Raw genomic sequence first — 16,126 nt, forward strand, 5'->3', positions numbered from 1 at the left:
TCAGGGAACTCTCCTATTTCACTTTAACCAGCCCCAGGTTCTCTGGCCATCCAGGTTGAACCAGAGTTTTCTGTATATGTACACATACTCATAGAATTCTGTGGATTGTTTTTCAAAGCCTTTTCACATTATCCTCTGAAATCTTCTTATTGTGTCACCATTTTCCCTACTCAAGGATGGGGACCTAATACAAGGCTTGGCTCATCATAGCATCATTGTCACAAATGGCAATGCCAGAAACAGGATACAACCTTCTGAGAGTGATACTTTTCCTCTGCAACTTGAAAAATGTAGCTCTATTTTCTCCTGTTTAAAGAGAGCTGTGATCACAGTCATTGTTATTTGAAAATTATTAATGAGACATAATATGCAGCCGTAGTATTTTTAAATAAAATGAATGATTTTCCTAATTCCACAAAACATTCTTCAAACATAGAAGGTGAAATATAAATGAAGACAAAGGAACTCATGAACCTCAAAGAAATTTAACTTTATCTGAAGGAGAGTCACCCAATCATTATTTTTATGATTCTAAGGTTTCCTGTTTCTGATGATTTTAAGTATTTTTTTACCCTTATCCTCTCTGTTAGGATGTGAGGATTTTAAGTATTTTTGAGGGAACTAGCATTAGTAGTTATGCCTGTGATATTTTGTTTATGTTGGTGAGTGAGGAAGAAGTAGGACTGAGAAGTATATTTCAAGCAGCTTCTGAGAAATTCCCAGTAGTCGGTAATACCTGCCAGTTTTTCAACTCCCCAGATAATGGTCAGTTAGTTGTGGTTTTTACAGGTTCACAGGAGGGAGGCAGAAACATAAAAAGAGTGAGCTGATTTCCAGGAGAGTAGTTCCTGGTGGTTAAGTGGATGGTAAAGAAGTTAAGTTTCAAAGTCTGATTCGAAATTGCAGCTATGGAATTCAGAGTAATTGTCGCTGAGGCTTTATAGCCTGTGGATTTGGCCTGCTGTGCACAGGGAGTGGTTCTTGGTTTTTAGCCCAGAGCAAAGTGGCAGTGAAGCACAAACACATATGCAACACCTTCTCAGGGGGTTACTGGGTTTGCTGGAATTATGCACGGAATTAACCGGCAACTCAAGGAGTTGAAAGAAAGCACAAGAATGTGGGAACTCCTACAGCAATCCAGCTGACTAATCAAAATTATTTTGAAATAGTTCTTCATAGTGGGCCAGCTGACTAACCAAAATTATTTTGAAATAGTTCTTCATAGCGGGTTTTGTTCCAAGCAAGGTAATGCCATCCATCACGAGCTAAATAAAACCCTGGTAAGGTCAACACAGTCCTGGTAAGATATGTTTTGTGATTAAAGCCCACAACAAAGTGATTTGTACAAGAGGACTATATAGTGCGGTGCTTCTTAAATTCCCCTGTGCACATGAATCACCTGGCAATCTTGTGAAAATAGAGATTCTAATTTAGTAGGTCTAAGGAGAATCCTGAGATGACTACATGTTAAAGCAGCTCCTGGGTGAGGCTGGTACAGCCAGTTCTCAGACAATGCTTTAAGTTGCAAAGGCAGGTACTTAAGTAAATATGTTGCTCTTGCATATTAGATTATGAAGTTGTCCTGTAAATTTCTTTGACAAAGTAAGTTAGTCTATTGTTAATAATCCTATTCACTCCTTCACAAAGTAAACAAGTCTGTTGTTAATAATCCTATTCACTTTTAGAGGGTATGGACATCCAATTCTTTTTTAAAAAAATCAACTTTCATTTTAGATATGGGGGATATATGCGCAGGTTTGTCCCAGAGGTATAGTGCACCCAGGTAGTGAGCATAATAAACAATAGTTTTTCAACCTACTCCCTCCCCGTCTAGTGGTCCACAGTGTCTGTTGTTCCCGTGTTTATGTCCTTGTGCGCTCAATGTTTAGCTCATAGTTATAAGTGAGAACATGTGGTATTTGGTTTTCTGTTCCTGAATTAATTTGCTTAGTATTTTGTCCTCCAGCTCCATCCATGTTGTTGCAAGAACATGATTTTGTTCTTTTTTATGGCTGTGTAGTATTCCATAGTGTACCTGTACCACATTTTCTTTATCCAGTCCACTATTGATGGGCACCTAGGTGGATTCCATGTCTTTGCTATTGTGAATACTGCTGCAATGAACAGATGAGCATATGTGTCTTTTTGGTAGAATGATCTATTTTCCTTTGGGTATATACTCAGTAATGGGATTACTGGGTGGAACAGTAGCTCTGATTTTAAGTTCTTTGAGAAATCTCCAAACTGCTTTCCACAGTGACTGAACTAATTTACATTCCCACCAGCAGTGTATAAGCATTTCCTTTTCCCCACAGCCTCACCAGCATCTTTTGTTTTTTGACTTTTTAATAATAGCGATTCTGACTGGTGTGAGGTGATATCTCATTGTGGTTTTTGACTTGTATTTCTCTGATGATTTGTGATGCTGAGCATTTTTTCATATCTTTTTTCAGTAGATATGAACGCTGGTATGTCTTCTTTTGAGAACATGTTCATGTACATCAAATTCTGATTTCTATCTTCTGCTTTGAAAAAAAGGAGGGAGAATATGTCTTCGTTAATGACCTCATGGAAAAATCATTTTTAAAAACTCCATATTAGGCCAGGCATGGCAGCTCACGTCTGTAATCCCAGCACTTTGGGAGGCCGAGGCCGGCAGATCTTCTGAGGTCAGGAGTTCAAGACCAGCTTGACCAACATGGTGAAACCCTGTCTCTACAAAAATATAAAAATCAGCCAGGTGTGGTGGCAGATGTCTGTAATCCCAGCTAGTCAGGAGTCTGACGCAAGAGAATTGCTTGAACCTGGGAGGCAGAGGTTGCAGTGTGCCGGGTGCAGTGTGCATTCCAGCCTGGGTGACAGAGTGAGACTCTGAAAAAAAAAAAAAAAAAAAAAAACCCTCCATATCGAGCCCTTTTTTTTTGAGACAGGGTCTTGCTCTGTTGCCCAGGCTGCAGTGCAGTGGCTCCAATCTGGACTTTGCTCACTGCAGCCTTGACTTCCTGGGCTCAAGCAATCCTCCCACCTCAGCCTCTCAAGTAGCTGGTACCACAGGCATACACCATCACACCTGACAAATTTTAAAATTTTTTGTAGAGACAGGGTCTCACCATCTTTCCCAGGCTTGCCTTGAATTCCTGGGCTCAAGCCGTCCTCCCGCCTTGGCCTCCCAAAGTGTTGGGATTATAGGCATTAGCCACTGCACCCAACCTGAGTCTTTATTTAAAGACTGAAAATACCCATGCCATTTATTTGACTGATGCTCCTGATTACTAAAGAAGTTACAGTAAATGCAGTATGTTGCCTTCATACAACAGTGGCATTCAAAAAGTATCTTACTAGCTGTTCGAGTAAGAACAGTCACTTTTGTGGTTAAAATTTGAAAACAAGTGCTGCCTGGTTTGAGTATTAGGTTATCTTTAGTGCAGGACCATCCTGGTTTGGAGGTAGCATCGTGTGGTAGTTTAAGCACAGACTTTGAAGTCAGACTTTCTAGATTCGAATCCCAGTTCTGCCACTTGCTGACTGTGTGCCTGTGGATGAGTGTGCAATGGTTTACTCATCTGTAAAATTGGTCTGCATTCTCCAGGTGTTACTAGATTGAGTAAAAATCTGCAAAGCTCCTAGAACAGTGTCCAACACATATATAAGCTACGTGTTTGTTAAATACAAGATTAAAATAAATAATATATGCATTAATGTCATATCTTAGTTGCTCAGTGGTCCTATGGAATCCAGAAAGTCTGTTTTCTTTTTACCAACTAAAATATCCTACAAGACTTTGCCAACAAGTAGCTGGTCAGAGAGAAAGGAGCCTTCAATCAACAACCTGAGAACCCCAAAATATATCCATGACATTTGGAAATGCATTCATTTTCCTTATTTGATTAGACTTACCTCAGTCCTTTGGTTTTGCAGTTGGTGATGTATATTGGCCAAGTGGCCAAGGATGTCTTGAAGTGGCCCCGTCCCTCCTCCCCTCCAGTTGTAAAACTGGAAAAGAGACTGATCGCTGAATATGGAATGCCATCCACCCACGCCATGGCGGCCACTGCCATTGCCTTCACCCTCCTTATCTCTACTATGGACAGATACCAGGTAAGGTGGCCTGGTTCTTCTTCCTACCCACCTACTGAGGCAGCAAATAGAGGCTGCACTTCTGAATTTTCTCTTAAAGCTGCTTTGAGGGACCTTAAGGTTTATGAAATAAAGATTAAGAGAAACTGAAACCTATTAAACAGATGACAATTGCATCATAAATAAAGTGACTATATAATTTAGCATTTAAATCAGGTTATGCCTGTGTGTGAACATCAGCACCATATTAATAATGACACCAGGACAACTAGCATAATATGGGCCATCCCAGGAGACCAGCATGTATTATCACCCTGGGCTGCCTGATGAGACAGTGCTTGAATTAGTGCTCTCATCCTCTGTTTGCAAGAGGAGTTTATGTCCTAGTAAATGATTCTCCAGGGCTGAGATGATTCCACCAAATCCCTCTGCCAGACTCCCCAGGGCCTGGGGCCGCAAAGAGTCTGTGCCTCAAATTAGCCTCTAAGGATGTCTCTGCCCTGGTTAAGGCTCAGCCACTAGAAATGATGGCTCAAAGTTTTCTAGAACAGTCTAAATGGCAGAGGATTAATAAATGTTGAAAATAGAAGAATTTTACTTAATATCTGCTTAAATGCCAATTATAGTAAGACTTAAACAGTTATATTATTACAGCAATGGAAGTTATTTTTCTCCTATTTGAGACCTATGGATCTAATCTTATGTTTAATTTTATAAGTGTTATCTTTTACCCATTGGATGTTTTATTTGTTTGTTTATTTGTTTGTTTGATTTTAAGACAGGGTCTCTGTTGCTGGGGCTGGAGTGCAGTGGCGCCATCACCACCCACTGTAGTCTTGACCTTCTGGGCTCAAGCGATCCTTCCATCTCATCTTCACAAGTAGCTGAGACCACAGCTATGCACCACTACGCCCAGATAATTAAAAAAAATTTTTTTTCTAGTGAAGGGGTCTTGCTGTGTTGCCCAGGCTGGTCTTGAACTCCTGGCCTCAAGCAATCTGCCTGCCTGGGCCTCCCAAAGCACTGGGATTACAGGCATGAGCCACTGCACCCAGCCCCACTGGAAGTTTTAGATTCCATTAAATCTAGCAGTCTTGTAGATAAATAGCAGTATTGTTTAGCCCTGTCCCTTTACCCCAGAAGCCCAGGGATGTTCCATATTCCAGGTTATGCAGAAGCAGGAAGTCAAGCCTCATGTAGCTGGAAAGACCAGGACTAGTGTGGGGTCCCACCTCTACCACTGTAGCCTTCTACCTGGTCATCTGGGTTTAGACCTCTGTTACATAAGAAAGGGACAGTTACAAGGAATATATTTGACTAGATATCATCTTTTGTCATAAGTTACTTAAACTTCATGCCGGGGTCAAACAATGTCTGAGCTCCTGGCACTGTCTGAATTAACTTAGTGCAGGCTGCTGAGCCATGTTGTACCCAATGTCAGCTGCCCTAGAAGGACGTAGTGGGCCAAGCACCAGCTCCCATTGGGTTGATCTTGGTGCCCAGAGAAGTCTGTGAATATGCTAATGTACCTTAAGAGAAAAGCAGCAAGTGGAGGCTCGCAGCAGGAAAACCACCACCATCACCACGGACACATCCATTGCAGAGCCACCCAGTCCTCCTTAAAAAATTCTCCTCAACTTACATGATGTAGCAGTTTTCATAAGGTTGGAGTCATGTTGTGAATTTCTTTCCTATTTGATTTTTAATAGTGAATGTATTTAGCTAGCTGTTTGCTCATAAACAGCTCTAAATATTGGTTTATTTATATATTATATTTATTGGTTTATTTATATACATATTTATTTTTATATATTATATATTGGTTTATGTGTGTTGAGTACCCCAAAAACTATTGAAATAAAATTTTAAAAATGTGTGTTGAGGCTGCTGCCCACACTCTAATTTCCAAATATATTAACTCATTAATTCTGAACACTTTTAAATTAAAATCTGAGACTTAGTTAATGATAAACCTTAAGAACAGACATGACAACCAGCTGTTATGGTACTCATGTGTTACAAGGGGAAGAACACACTGGGCTTGGACTCAGAAGGCATGGCCTTCAGTTCTGACTCTCACTTACCAGCTGTGTGACCTCAGGCAGATCATTTCACCTCTCTGAACCCCAAGCTCCTGTTGTGAGGGTCAAATGGGAGCATTGAGGGGAAAGTGCCTTTATGATAAAGTTTATTAATAACGTCATTTATTATCATGGTTAAGAGCTTCCTCATTTGTAAAATGGGGCTAATAACAGAGCCTACTTCATAGGGCTATGTGAAGACTAAAGGAGATAGTATAAAGTGCTTTGCCTAATACAGACAGTGCCCTATTGTCTTTGATCTTCTTACTACAGTATACCACAGACACTAGTGCTTGAAGCAGGTGGATTTATGCCTATGTCTAGCTTATAAGCAGAGTATCTGTGTGTTCCTTATATGATTCAGCATTAGCCAGATTCCTCTAGCCACTAGTATTACTCAGCAGCAAATGTTGAGAGTCAGTAGAATCTGCACAAGTGCTTTTGATATCTGGACGCAAATATGCCGATTCTGACTTTAGGCCCATTGCCCCTCCTTCTACGGAGGAGGAGAAGTTGCTTGTTGGGATTTTCAGATTATAGCCCTGGCTATCTATCTACCTTGCTTCTTGGTCAAATTGTTTGTTTCTTATCGTTCTAATTTAAGAATAGGTAGAAATCAAAGTTATTCATTTCACTAAAACTGCCAGCACTGTAGTTGTGGTCATGAGTCTTAAAGCCAAGTCCTACTACGTCTCACGTGCATGCTTATATGTTGTGAAACTTCCTCCCAGAACTGTGTACCTGGGTATCTTCCCCTTCTCTTTCTTCTGTCTCCCCGTTTAAAAAAAAGTTTTAAGTTAATCAGATTGCTGGTCTGGGGAATGCAAGATTTGGACTAGCAATTCTTGCATTAATGAATCCTATTCCCACCTATGACATCAAATCATGTATGTCTGAGTGTGATCTAATTCCCTTGTTTTTTCTCCTTCCCCCACAGTATCCATTTGTGTTGGGACTGGTGATGGCCGTGGTGTTTTCCACCTTGGTGTGTCTCAGCAGGCTCTACACTGGGATGCATACGGTCCTGGTAAGGCTTTGTGGTCAGGTCTTGTGGTGATTGTTTGAATGATATTGTGGTCAGTGTGTCAATATGTTTCTCATACTACTTATTTATAAAATTATTTGCATATGTAATTATATTTCTCATCATGCCAATGCATTAAGTAATTATTATGTTCGGGTGCATGTATGATAATAGTAATGAAACATTAAGGTAATATCAATGAGGCTGAGCTACACTGAACCCTCAAGATTTTGAAAATGGGCTAGAACAGCGTTGGAGACTCCGGTCATTTATATTCACATCAGTTTACTGACGATGCAGCAAGCAGTTCAGAAAAAGCCCCCAGGCTCATAGGCACGAGTGAGTAGATGCAGTTCCCCACTTAGGTCCTCACAGAGAGGGGCCTGAAATCAGGGGTCTCCAGTGCCCTTGCAAGGTAAGGGTCCCACCAGGTCAGAGGAGCCCGGTATCACGGCTTTGCTTCCTTCCATACTGTTTTAGGCTGGAGGCAGTGGTGGGAACAGAGTCCCATCTGCATGTAAAGGTCCATCCACCCTTTTACCATATTAGAAATATTTTCCAGGGCCGCCATGATTGGCACAGTTAAAATTCCTTGAGAATTCAGTTTCCCAATGTGTCCACGGCTGCCTTGAAGTTCCAGAGCATAAGGCTGGCCATGGTCGACCACAGGGGCGCTATTTATCATCGTAATAGGTACAAGAAAGATTTCTTTAAAAAGAAATGGGCCCTTGCTCATTGTGTGTTTATCTCAATTCTGAAGCTCAAAAGTTAAGTTAGCAAAAAAACCTGGGAGGGAAAGGCCTACACCCCACACGGGCCTTCTTGCTTCTCTCCCTGGTCCCTTGTGTGGGTTTTTTATGGGAAATGTGGGAGAGAGGGGGCAGAAGGGCAGAAGCTGCAGAGCGAACAGATTGGGGAGATCATTTGTCAAAATGAACAGAGGCCGAAGTAACTCAGAGAAGGGGGTTTATGGCTTCCCAAGGGTCTATCAGAGAGCAACATTACGCTTTCCTCTTAAAATGCAAAGGAAGGTGCTGATAGCAATTGACTCGAGGCCAGGCCTCAGAAGAGGCAGGCAAGTCTCCAAGTTAAAGAGTGCTAAAAATCTCAGGAATCAAGATAAATCATTTGAATGCAGTTTTTTAAAAAATCAAAATTCATGCTACAAAACCCCATGATGAGCTAGATAGTCAAATTTTAAGTGAAGACAAGATTTGACCCTGTATTTGCATGCTGTGCCTCAGCTGCTTCACCTCAGCCTGGCCCTGACCTGGGTGCTGCCTGGGTGAAGGCGGGCCTCAGATCTTGGAAATAAGAAAGGAGCAATGAAGGGCCAGTCCTGTAATTTTACCTCCCAAGGCACGTCCTTGCTGTCCCCATCCCACGTCACACCACACTGGTGGCTCCTGAGATGGAGGGAAGGAGGGGAGGAGGGCGTTCTCTATTTGCTACACTGCCACTTCGTGTTACAAAGAGGTTCTCTCCAAATATGTTCATAGACTTCAATATGGAATGAAGAACTCTTGGGTTCTCTGGCATCTCTTTTTATCTGGGGCTACTGTTTAATTTCTGTAGGCTTTAATAAAATATGATCTTGGTAATGATAGACTGGATAAAGAAAATGTAGTACATATACATCATGGAATACTATGCAGCCATGAAAAGGAATGAGATCATGTCCTTTGACATGGATGAAGCTGGAAGCCATCATCCTCAGCAAACTAACACGGGAACAGAAAACCTAACACCACATGTTCTCACTCATAAATGGGAGTTGAACAGTGAAAACACATGGACACAGGGAGGGGAACAACACACACCATGGCCTGTTGGGAGGTTGGGGGTGAGGGGAGGAACTTAGAGGATGGTCAATAGGTGCAGCAAACCACCATGGCACACGTATACCTGTGTAACAAACCTGCATGTTCTGCACATGTATCTCGGAACTTAAAGTAAAATTTAAAAAAGAATGATCTCGAGAACTCGGGTTAAAGTTAAAATGAAAGTAAGCACGAGCATGTAGAGCTACAGAGATGAGTAAAGAGTACACAAAACCCACCTCAATAGAAACACAGCTACAGCTTTTTCTTTTTAAAGTGAGTTGTGGGGACAGTAAGCAGATATTTAGGGGAAGATAGATTAGGCCTGTCATCCAGATGCAAGGAATATTATATGCTTTTTTTAGACATAATGCAGTTGCACACTTAGTAGACAACAGAATAGTGTAAACATTTTTATATGCACTGAGAAACAAAAAAAAAATTGTGTGACTTGCTTGATTGTGATATTGACTTGATGGTGATGGTTTGGAACTGAACCCGCTGTGACTCTGAGTTAGGCCTGGATGTCACACTATGTTCATCCATTCATCTGTCAGTGAACACTTGGGCTCACCTTTAGGCTACTGTGAATAAGGCTTCTCTGAACATGGGGTTTCAAATATCTTCAGAGAGATTTTTTTAGAAGCTTCCCATGGGGTTTGAATATGCAGCTATGGTTGAGAGCCATTATAAAAGACATTCCCTAGAGATTGTGAGGGGCCCAGGGAAGGGGCACCGCCCCCTTTTGGGAGCATTTGTCCCAGAAGAAGCTGGAGCAAGAGGCCACAGCAACCATTGTCCCCAACCCCATCTGTTCTGTCAGGACCCAGGGCTTCTTTCATGCTCATAATTTTATTTCATAAAGATCTTAGACCCTGACTCAGGCTTAGGCCCAGGTACCAGTCAGGCTACAGGACCAGAGAATGGCCTAGGGTGCAATGATGAGTAATTTTTAGTAGAAGGGAACAGTTGGTTTTAATAGTAGGATAAGGTAGAATTATGGATTAGTTGCCTTTATTCAGCAGCAACTTAATCAGCTCCTACAGGCCCCTGGACTTGGAATGAGATCTGGGAGCTCTTGTGGTAAAGAAACCTATGCCACCCCTCAGGTGTCCAAGTCTACTGAAGGAGACAGATGTCTACACTGCTGATTACCTGACATGATGATATAGTTAGGATGGAATAACTGGATTGAGCCAACTATGATAGCGTGCCCCTTCCCTGGGCCCCTCACAATCTCTAGGGAATGTCTTTTATAATGGTTCTCAACCATAGCTGCATATTCAAACCCCATGGGAAGCTTCTAAAAAAATCTCTCTGAAGATATTTGAAACCCCATGTTCAGAGAAGCCTTACTCACAGTAGCCTAAAGGTGAGCCCAAGTGTTCACTGACAGATGAATGGATGAACATAGTGTGACATCCAGGCCTAACTCAGAATCACAGCGGGTTCAGTTCCAAACCATCACCATCAAGTCAATATCACAATCAAGCAAGTCACACAATTTTTTTTTTGTTTCTCAGTGCATATAAAAATGTTTACACTATTCTGTTGTCTAGTAAGTGTGCAATTACATTATGTCTAAAAAAAAGCAATGTACATATAATATCTTAATTTAGAAATAATTTACTGCTAAAAAATGCTAACAATGATCTGGGCCTTCTGTGAGTCATAATGTTTTTGCTGGTGGAGGGTCTGGCTCAGTGTTGATGGCTGCTGACTGCGTAGGGTGGTCATTGCTGAAGGGTGGAGGGGCTGTGGCAAGTTTTGTTTTTGTTTTTGTTTTTGAGACATCTCAGTCTGTCACCTGGGCTGGAGTGCAGTGGTGAGATCTTGGCTCACTGCAATGTCTGCCTTCTAGATTCAAGCAATTCTCATACCTCGGCCTCCCGAGTAGCTGGGACTACAGGCATGCACCACCACATCTGGCTAATTTTTGTATTTTTATTAGAGACAGTGTCTCACTATGTTGCCCAGGCTTGTCTCAAATTCTTGGGCTCAAGCAATCATACCACCTCAGCCTCCCAAAGTGCTGGGATTACAGGCATGAGCCAGCGTGTCCTGTTTCTTAAAATAGACAACAATGAAGTTTGCCGCATCAATTGACTCTTCCTTTTAGGAAAGATTTCTTTGTAGAATGCCAATGCTGTTTTTTTCCTTATTTTTCTCCCCTTTACATATGCCAAATCATGTGATGATATTTGATAACCTTTTACCTGGAGGAGAACTTTCAAAATTAGAGTTAATTCTCTCAAACCCTGCAATTGCTTTATCCACTACGTTTATGTAATATTCTGTCCTTTCTTGTCATTTTAACAATGTTCACAGCATCTTCACCTGGAGTAGATTCCATCTGAAAAGATTACTTTCTTTGTTTATCCATAAAAAGCAACTCTTCATCCATTCAAGTTTTATCATGAGATTGCAGCAATTCAGTCACATCTTCAGGCTCCACATCTAATTCTAGTTCTCTTGCTATTTTATTTATTTTTTTAATTTTTTGAGACAGAGTCTCACTCTGTCACCCAGGCTGGAGTGCAATGGCGTGATGTCTACTCACTGCAACCTCCGTCTCCCGGGTTCAAGCCATTGTTCTGCCTCAGCCTCCCAAGTAGCTGGGACTACAGGCATGCGCTGCCACACCCAGCTAATTTTTGTATTTTTAGTAGAGGCGGGGTTTCACCATGTTGGCCAGGCTGGTCTTGAACCCCTGACATGAAGTGATCCGTCCACCTTGGTCTCCCAAAGTGCTGGGATTACAGGCATGAGCCACTGCACCCAGCCTCTTGCTATTTTAATCATATCTGCCGTTACTTCCTCCATTGAAGTCGTAACCCCCTCAAAGTTATCCATAAGGGCTGGAATCAATATCTCCCAAACTCCTGTTAATGTTGATAGCTTGACCTCCTCCCATGAACATGAATCACAAATGTTCTTAATGGCATCTAGAATGGTGAATCCTCTCCGGAAGATTTTCAATTTACTTTGTCCAGATCTATCAGAGGAATCACTATCTATGGTAGCTATAGCCTTACAAAATGTGTTTCTTAAAAAGTAAGACTTGAAAGTAGCAATGACTCCTTGATCCCTGGGCTGTGGAATGGATGGTGTGTTTAGCAGGCCTGAAAACAACATAAATCTTGTACATCTTGTACATCTCCATCTTAGGTGACCAGGTGTATTGTCCATGAGCAATAATATTTTGAAAGGAATATTTTGCTCTGAGCAGTAGGTCAAAACAATGGGCTTAAAATATTCAGTAAATTATGCTGCAAACAGACGTGCTGTCACCCAGACTTTGTTATTTCATTTCTAGAGCACAGGCAGAGTAGATTTAGCATAATTCTTAAGGGCCCTAGAATTTTCAGAATGGTAAATGGCCATTGGTTCACCTTAAAGTTACCAGCTGCATTAGCCCCTAACAAGAGCATTAGCCTGTCCTTTGAAGTGTTGAAGCCAGACATTGACTTCTGTCTAGCTGTGAAAGTCCTAGATGGCATCTTCTTCCAATGTAAGGCTGTTTTATCTACATTAAAACGCTGTTGTGTAACGTAGCCACCTTCATCAATGACCTTAGCTAGATTTTCTGGATAACTAGCTATAGCTTCTCTATCAGAACTTGCTGCTTTACCTTGCACATTTATGTTTTGAACACGGCTTCTTTCCTTAAACCTCATGAACCAAATTCTGCTAGTGTCAGACTTTTTTTCTGCAGCTTCCTCACCTCTCAATCATCATAGAGCTAAAGAGAGTTAGGGTTTTGCTCTGGATTAGACTTTGGCTTAAGGGAATGTTGTGACTGGTTTGATCTTCTAACCAGGCCACTCAAACTTTCTCTATAATAAGGCTGTTTAATTTTCTTATAATTCATGTATTCATTGGAGTAGCACTTTTAATTGCCTTCAAGAACTTTTCCATTCCATTCTCAATATGGCTGTTTGGTACAAGAGGCTTAGCTTTTGGCCTATCTCAGTTTTTGAAATGCCTTCCTCACTAAGGTTAATCATTTCTAGCTTTTGATTTTAAGTAAGAGATGACAGCCAGGTGCAGTGGCTCACCTGGAATCCCAGTGCTTTGAGAGTCTGAGGAGAGAGGTTTGCTCGAGCCCAGGAGTTGGAGGCTGTAGTGAGGTATGCTTGTACAACTGCACTCCAGCCTGGGTGACAGAATGAGATCCAGCCTCCAAAATAAATAAATAAAGTGAGAGACATGTGACTCTTCTTTCACTTGAACACTGAGAGGCTATTAGGGTTATTAATGGGCCTAATTTCATATTGTTGTGTCTCAGAGCATAGGGAGGTGAGAAGAAAGCAAGAGAACACAGAGACATAAAATGAGCTCAGACTGTTGGGAAAGTGGCACCGATAGACTTGCTGGATACAGTATTACCACAAAACTTCAATTTGTAAAAAACACAGTATCTGCAAAGTGCAATCAAGGGAAGCAGAGTAAAATGAGGTGTGCCTGTCCACATACGATGGAGTATTAGCCTTAAAAGGGTGGGGAATTCTGACACCTGCTACAACATGGATGAGCCTTGAAGACATTATGTTAAGTGAGACAAGCCAGTCAGAAAAGGAAATCTTATATGATTCCACTTACATCAGGTACCTAGAGTAATCAAATTCATAGAGACCAAAATTAGAATGGTAGTTGCCAGCAGCTGTCAGGGAGACAGGGAGGAATGAGAAGTTCTTATTTATTGTGTATAGAGTTTCAGTTTTGTAAGATGAAAGACATTTTGGAATTGGATGATCATGGTAGTTACACAACAATATAAATCCTGTTAATACCGCTGGATATTTTAAAATAGTTAAGGTGGTGAATTTTATGTTATGTGTGTGTGTATACATATTAATAGATATATGGAGGTGGGTCCTGAGCTTTGGTATTTTTTTAAGCTCCCCCGTTGATTTTAATGTGCAACCGGGGTTGAGAGTCATTGATTGGACTAATGATCTGTCTTCCATGCTAGATATGTGCATGCCCCTGAACAAAACTGGGTTGGAAGGTGGAGACAGATACTCTGTAGACACCCAGCATCCACATGAACCACTCTGATTGCACACAGCTTTGATGCTCAGGGCGTGTGAGTACATCATTCAGGTGGCTGCCTGCTTGATACAAATGGCTCTCTCTAGGCTAGGCACGGTGGCTCATGACTGTAATCTCAGCACTTTGGGAGGCCGAGGCAGGTGGATCACCTGAGGTCAGGAGTTCGAGACCAGCCTGACCAACATGGAGAAACCCCATCTCTACTAAAAATACAAAAAATTAGCCAGGTGTGCTGGCACATGCCTGTAATCCCAGCTACTTGGGAGGCTGAGGCAGGAGAATCACTTGAACCTGGGAGGCGGAGTTTGCAGTGAGCCGAGATCGCGCCATTGCACTTGAGCCTGGGCAACAAGAGTGAAACTCTGTCTCAAAAAAGAAAAAAAAGAAAAGAAAAAAGAAAATGAAAGAAAAGAAAAAAATGGCTCTCTCTGCATAAGCAGGAGAGCAATTCAAGGAGAGAAATAATTTGCTTATCCCGCCTCTTAGGAAGTCACTCCTTGTCAGATGTGGTTTGGTGCCCCTGTCAAGGCTTTGCTGACGGGCTCCAGCTAGTCTCCTGGGCAGGCCCAACTGAAGCATGGGGAGGCATTAAACCCGCATGGCTGTGTCATCATCCTCACCAAACCAGATCTGGCCCCACCCCAGGGAAGGCGTCCCTGCCTACCAAGACACCCAAGCAAGAAACATGGGCAACACCCCAGCTCCTCCCTTCCCACACCTCCATCAGTCAGGTAGTCACCAAGCTGAATCCGTTCTGGCTCTTAAATATGTCTCACAGCTGCTCTTACACCACTGCTTGGAAATTATTTCCAAATCTGATTATGCTATTCCATGCATGGAGAAGTTTCTCTATCTCTTGCTGGACGTGAATGATGACACAGCCCCATTTGTGAGCAGCAGCCATTTGGGAATGTTTGGGGAATTGGCCTTTGAGAGAAATCAGTACTGTCCATGCCAAAGTATGGAAATAAAACACAGGGGCCCCAATGACATCACTGAGTGACTTTACCACCCCTGGGGCCACCGTACCTCTGGGCTCACCATTCAAGGTAAAACAGAGTTCCTTATTGCTGAAGCCAGTTTTTACTGAGGTCTTACATTTTTTCATGGTGAAAGGCATTCTATGTGAAGTGATAATTTATGAAAACAGTTTTTTGGTGTATAATTTCATGTTCTCTTAGTTTGAAGAATAAACCAATTGCATCCAGCTGAAGGAAAAGACAGAGAGAAAGAGGGAAAGGAGGGAAGATAGAATGTCTTGGAAGGACTGGGGTAGCTTGTGGAGCTCAGGAAGCTGTCAAAAAAACAAGCCTCAGGAGGGACCAGAAGAGGGGTGGCTCTGAGGAGTGTCATCACCTTCCCTTTGGAGTGCCACCATTCATGTATCCCAGCTCCCGACAACTCCTCCCTCAGATCAAAACTCTAACATATGGAGGTGAGACTTCGGCTGGACCCAGCACTACCCTTGGACCAGTGACCCTTGGCAGGGGGACAGGTCGCAGAGCAGAAATGCAACCTGGGAGCCACTCCTGTAGGATGTGAAGGCAGTGTCCTGAGAACAGGGACTGGAAAGAGCCCAGTAAGTTCACCACAATTGAATATGCCCAAAATCAAGTGGTTACCAGATGCGTTAGTCAGGACTCCTTGAATGAGAATAACAGACATCAACTCAAACTAGTTTAAGCTTACAGGGAAATGTATTGATGTTTATAACCATAGTATAAGGAGGTCAGAGGTGCAGCTGGCATTGGGAGAGTGGGACCCCAGGCCTTGACCTTCATCAGAAGCTTCCCTCACCACTCTTACCCAAGCTTATCTCTGCATGGTGGATTCATACTCTCGGTCTGCCATCCTCCCTGAGATTGGAGTTCTGGGCTTCATTTATTTTTTTTTTTTTTCTATTTCGCTCCTTAAAGGACTTCAGGGAGGAGAGTTTCAGGGAAGATCTCACATTGGCTGCACCTGGATAATAAGTCCGTGGCTGCATCAAATGCTATCCCAGGGGTGCTGAGAACTGTGATGGAACCAGCCAGGTCTGGAGCCAACCCGTGCGAGCAGTGGCTCTGATT

The 16,126-nt window shown here is 42.3% G+C and overlaps 1 protein-coding gene across 3 annotated transcripts in view, besides 1 other annotated feature; it reads left to right on the plus strand.

Annotated features, from left to right (window-relative positions):
- SGPP2 (sphingosine-1-phosphate phosphatase 2) overlaps positions 1-16,126 on the plus strand; it is a 138,634-nt gene that overhangs the window by 93,861 nt on the left and 28,647 nt on the right. For all 3 annotated transcript variants that reach the window (NM_001320834.2, NM_001320833.2, NM_152386.4), the window contains 2 exons: positions 3,919-4,098; positions 7,096-7,185. In NM_001320834.2, coding sequence (NP_001307763.1) covers positions 3,925-4,098; positions 7,096-7,185 — 264 coding nt within the window. In that variant the 5' untranslated portion in view covers positions 3,919-3,924. The remainder of the gene's footprint in view (positions 1-3,918; positions 4,099-7,095; positions 7,186-16,126) is intronic.
- Positions 603-1,195: an enhancer, noted in NCBI's record as "OCT4-NANOG hESC enhancer chr2:223383170-223383762 (GRCh37/hg19 assembly coordinates)". NCBI's record gives its function as "activates a minimal SCP1, AML or CMV promoter by ChIP-STARR-seq in naive H9 embryonic stem cells {active_cell/tissue: H9 hESC(naive)}" and the evidence as "EXISTENCE:reporter gene assay evidence [ECO:0000049][PMID:30033119]".

Source organism: Homo sapiens, chromosome 2 (genome assembly GCF_000001405.40).
Source record: "Homo sapiens chromosome 2, GRCh38.p14 Primary Assembly".
NCBI classification, from domain to species: domain Eukaryota; kingdom Metazoa; phylum Chordata; class Mammalia; order Primates; family Hominidae; genus Homo; species Homo sapiens.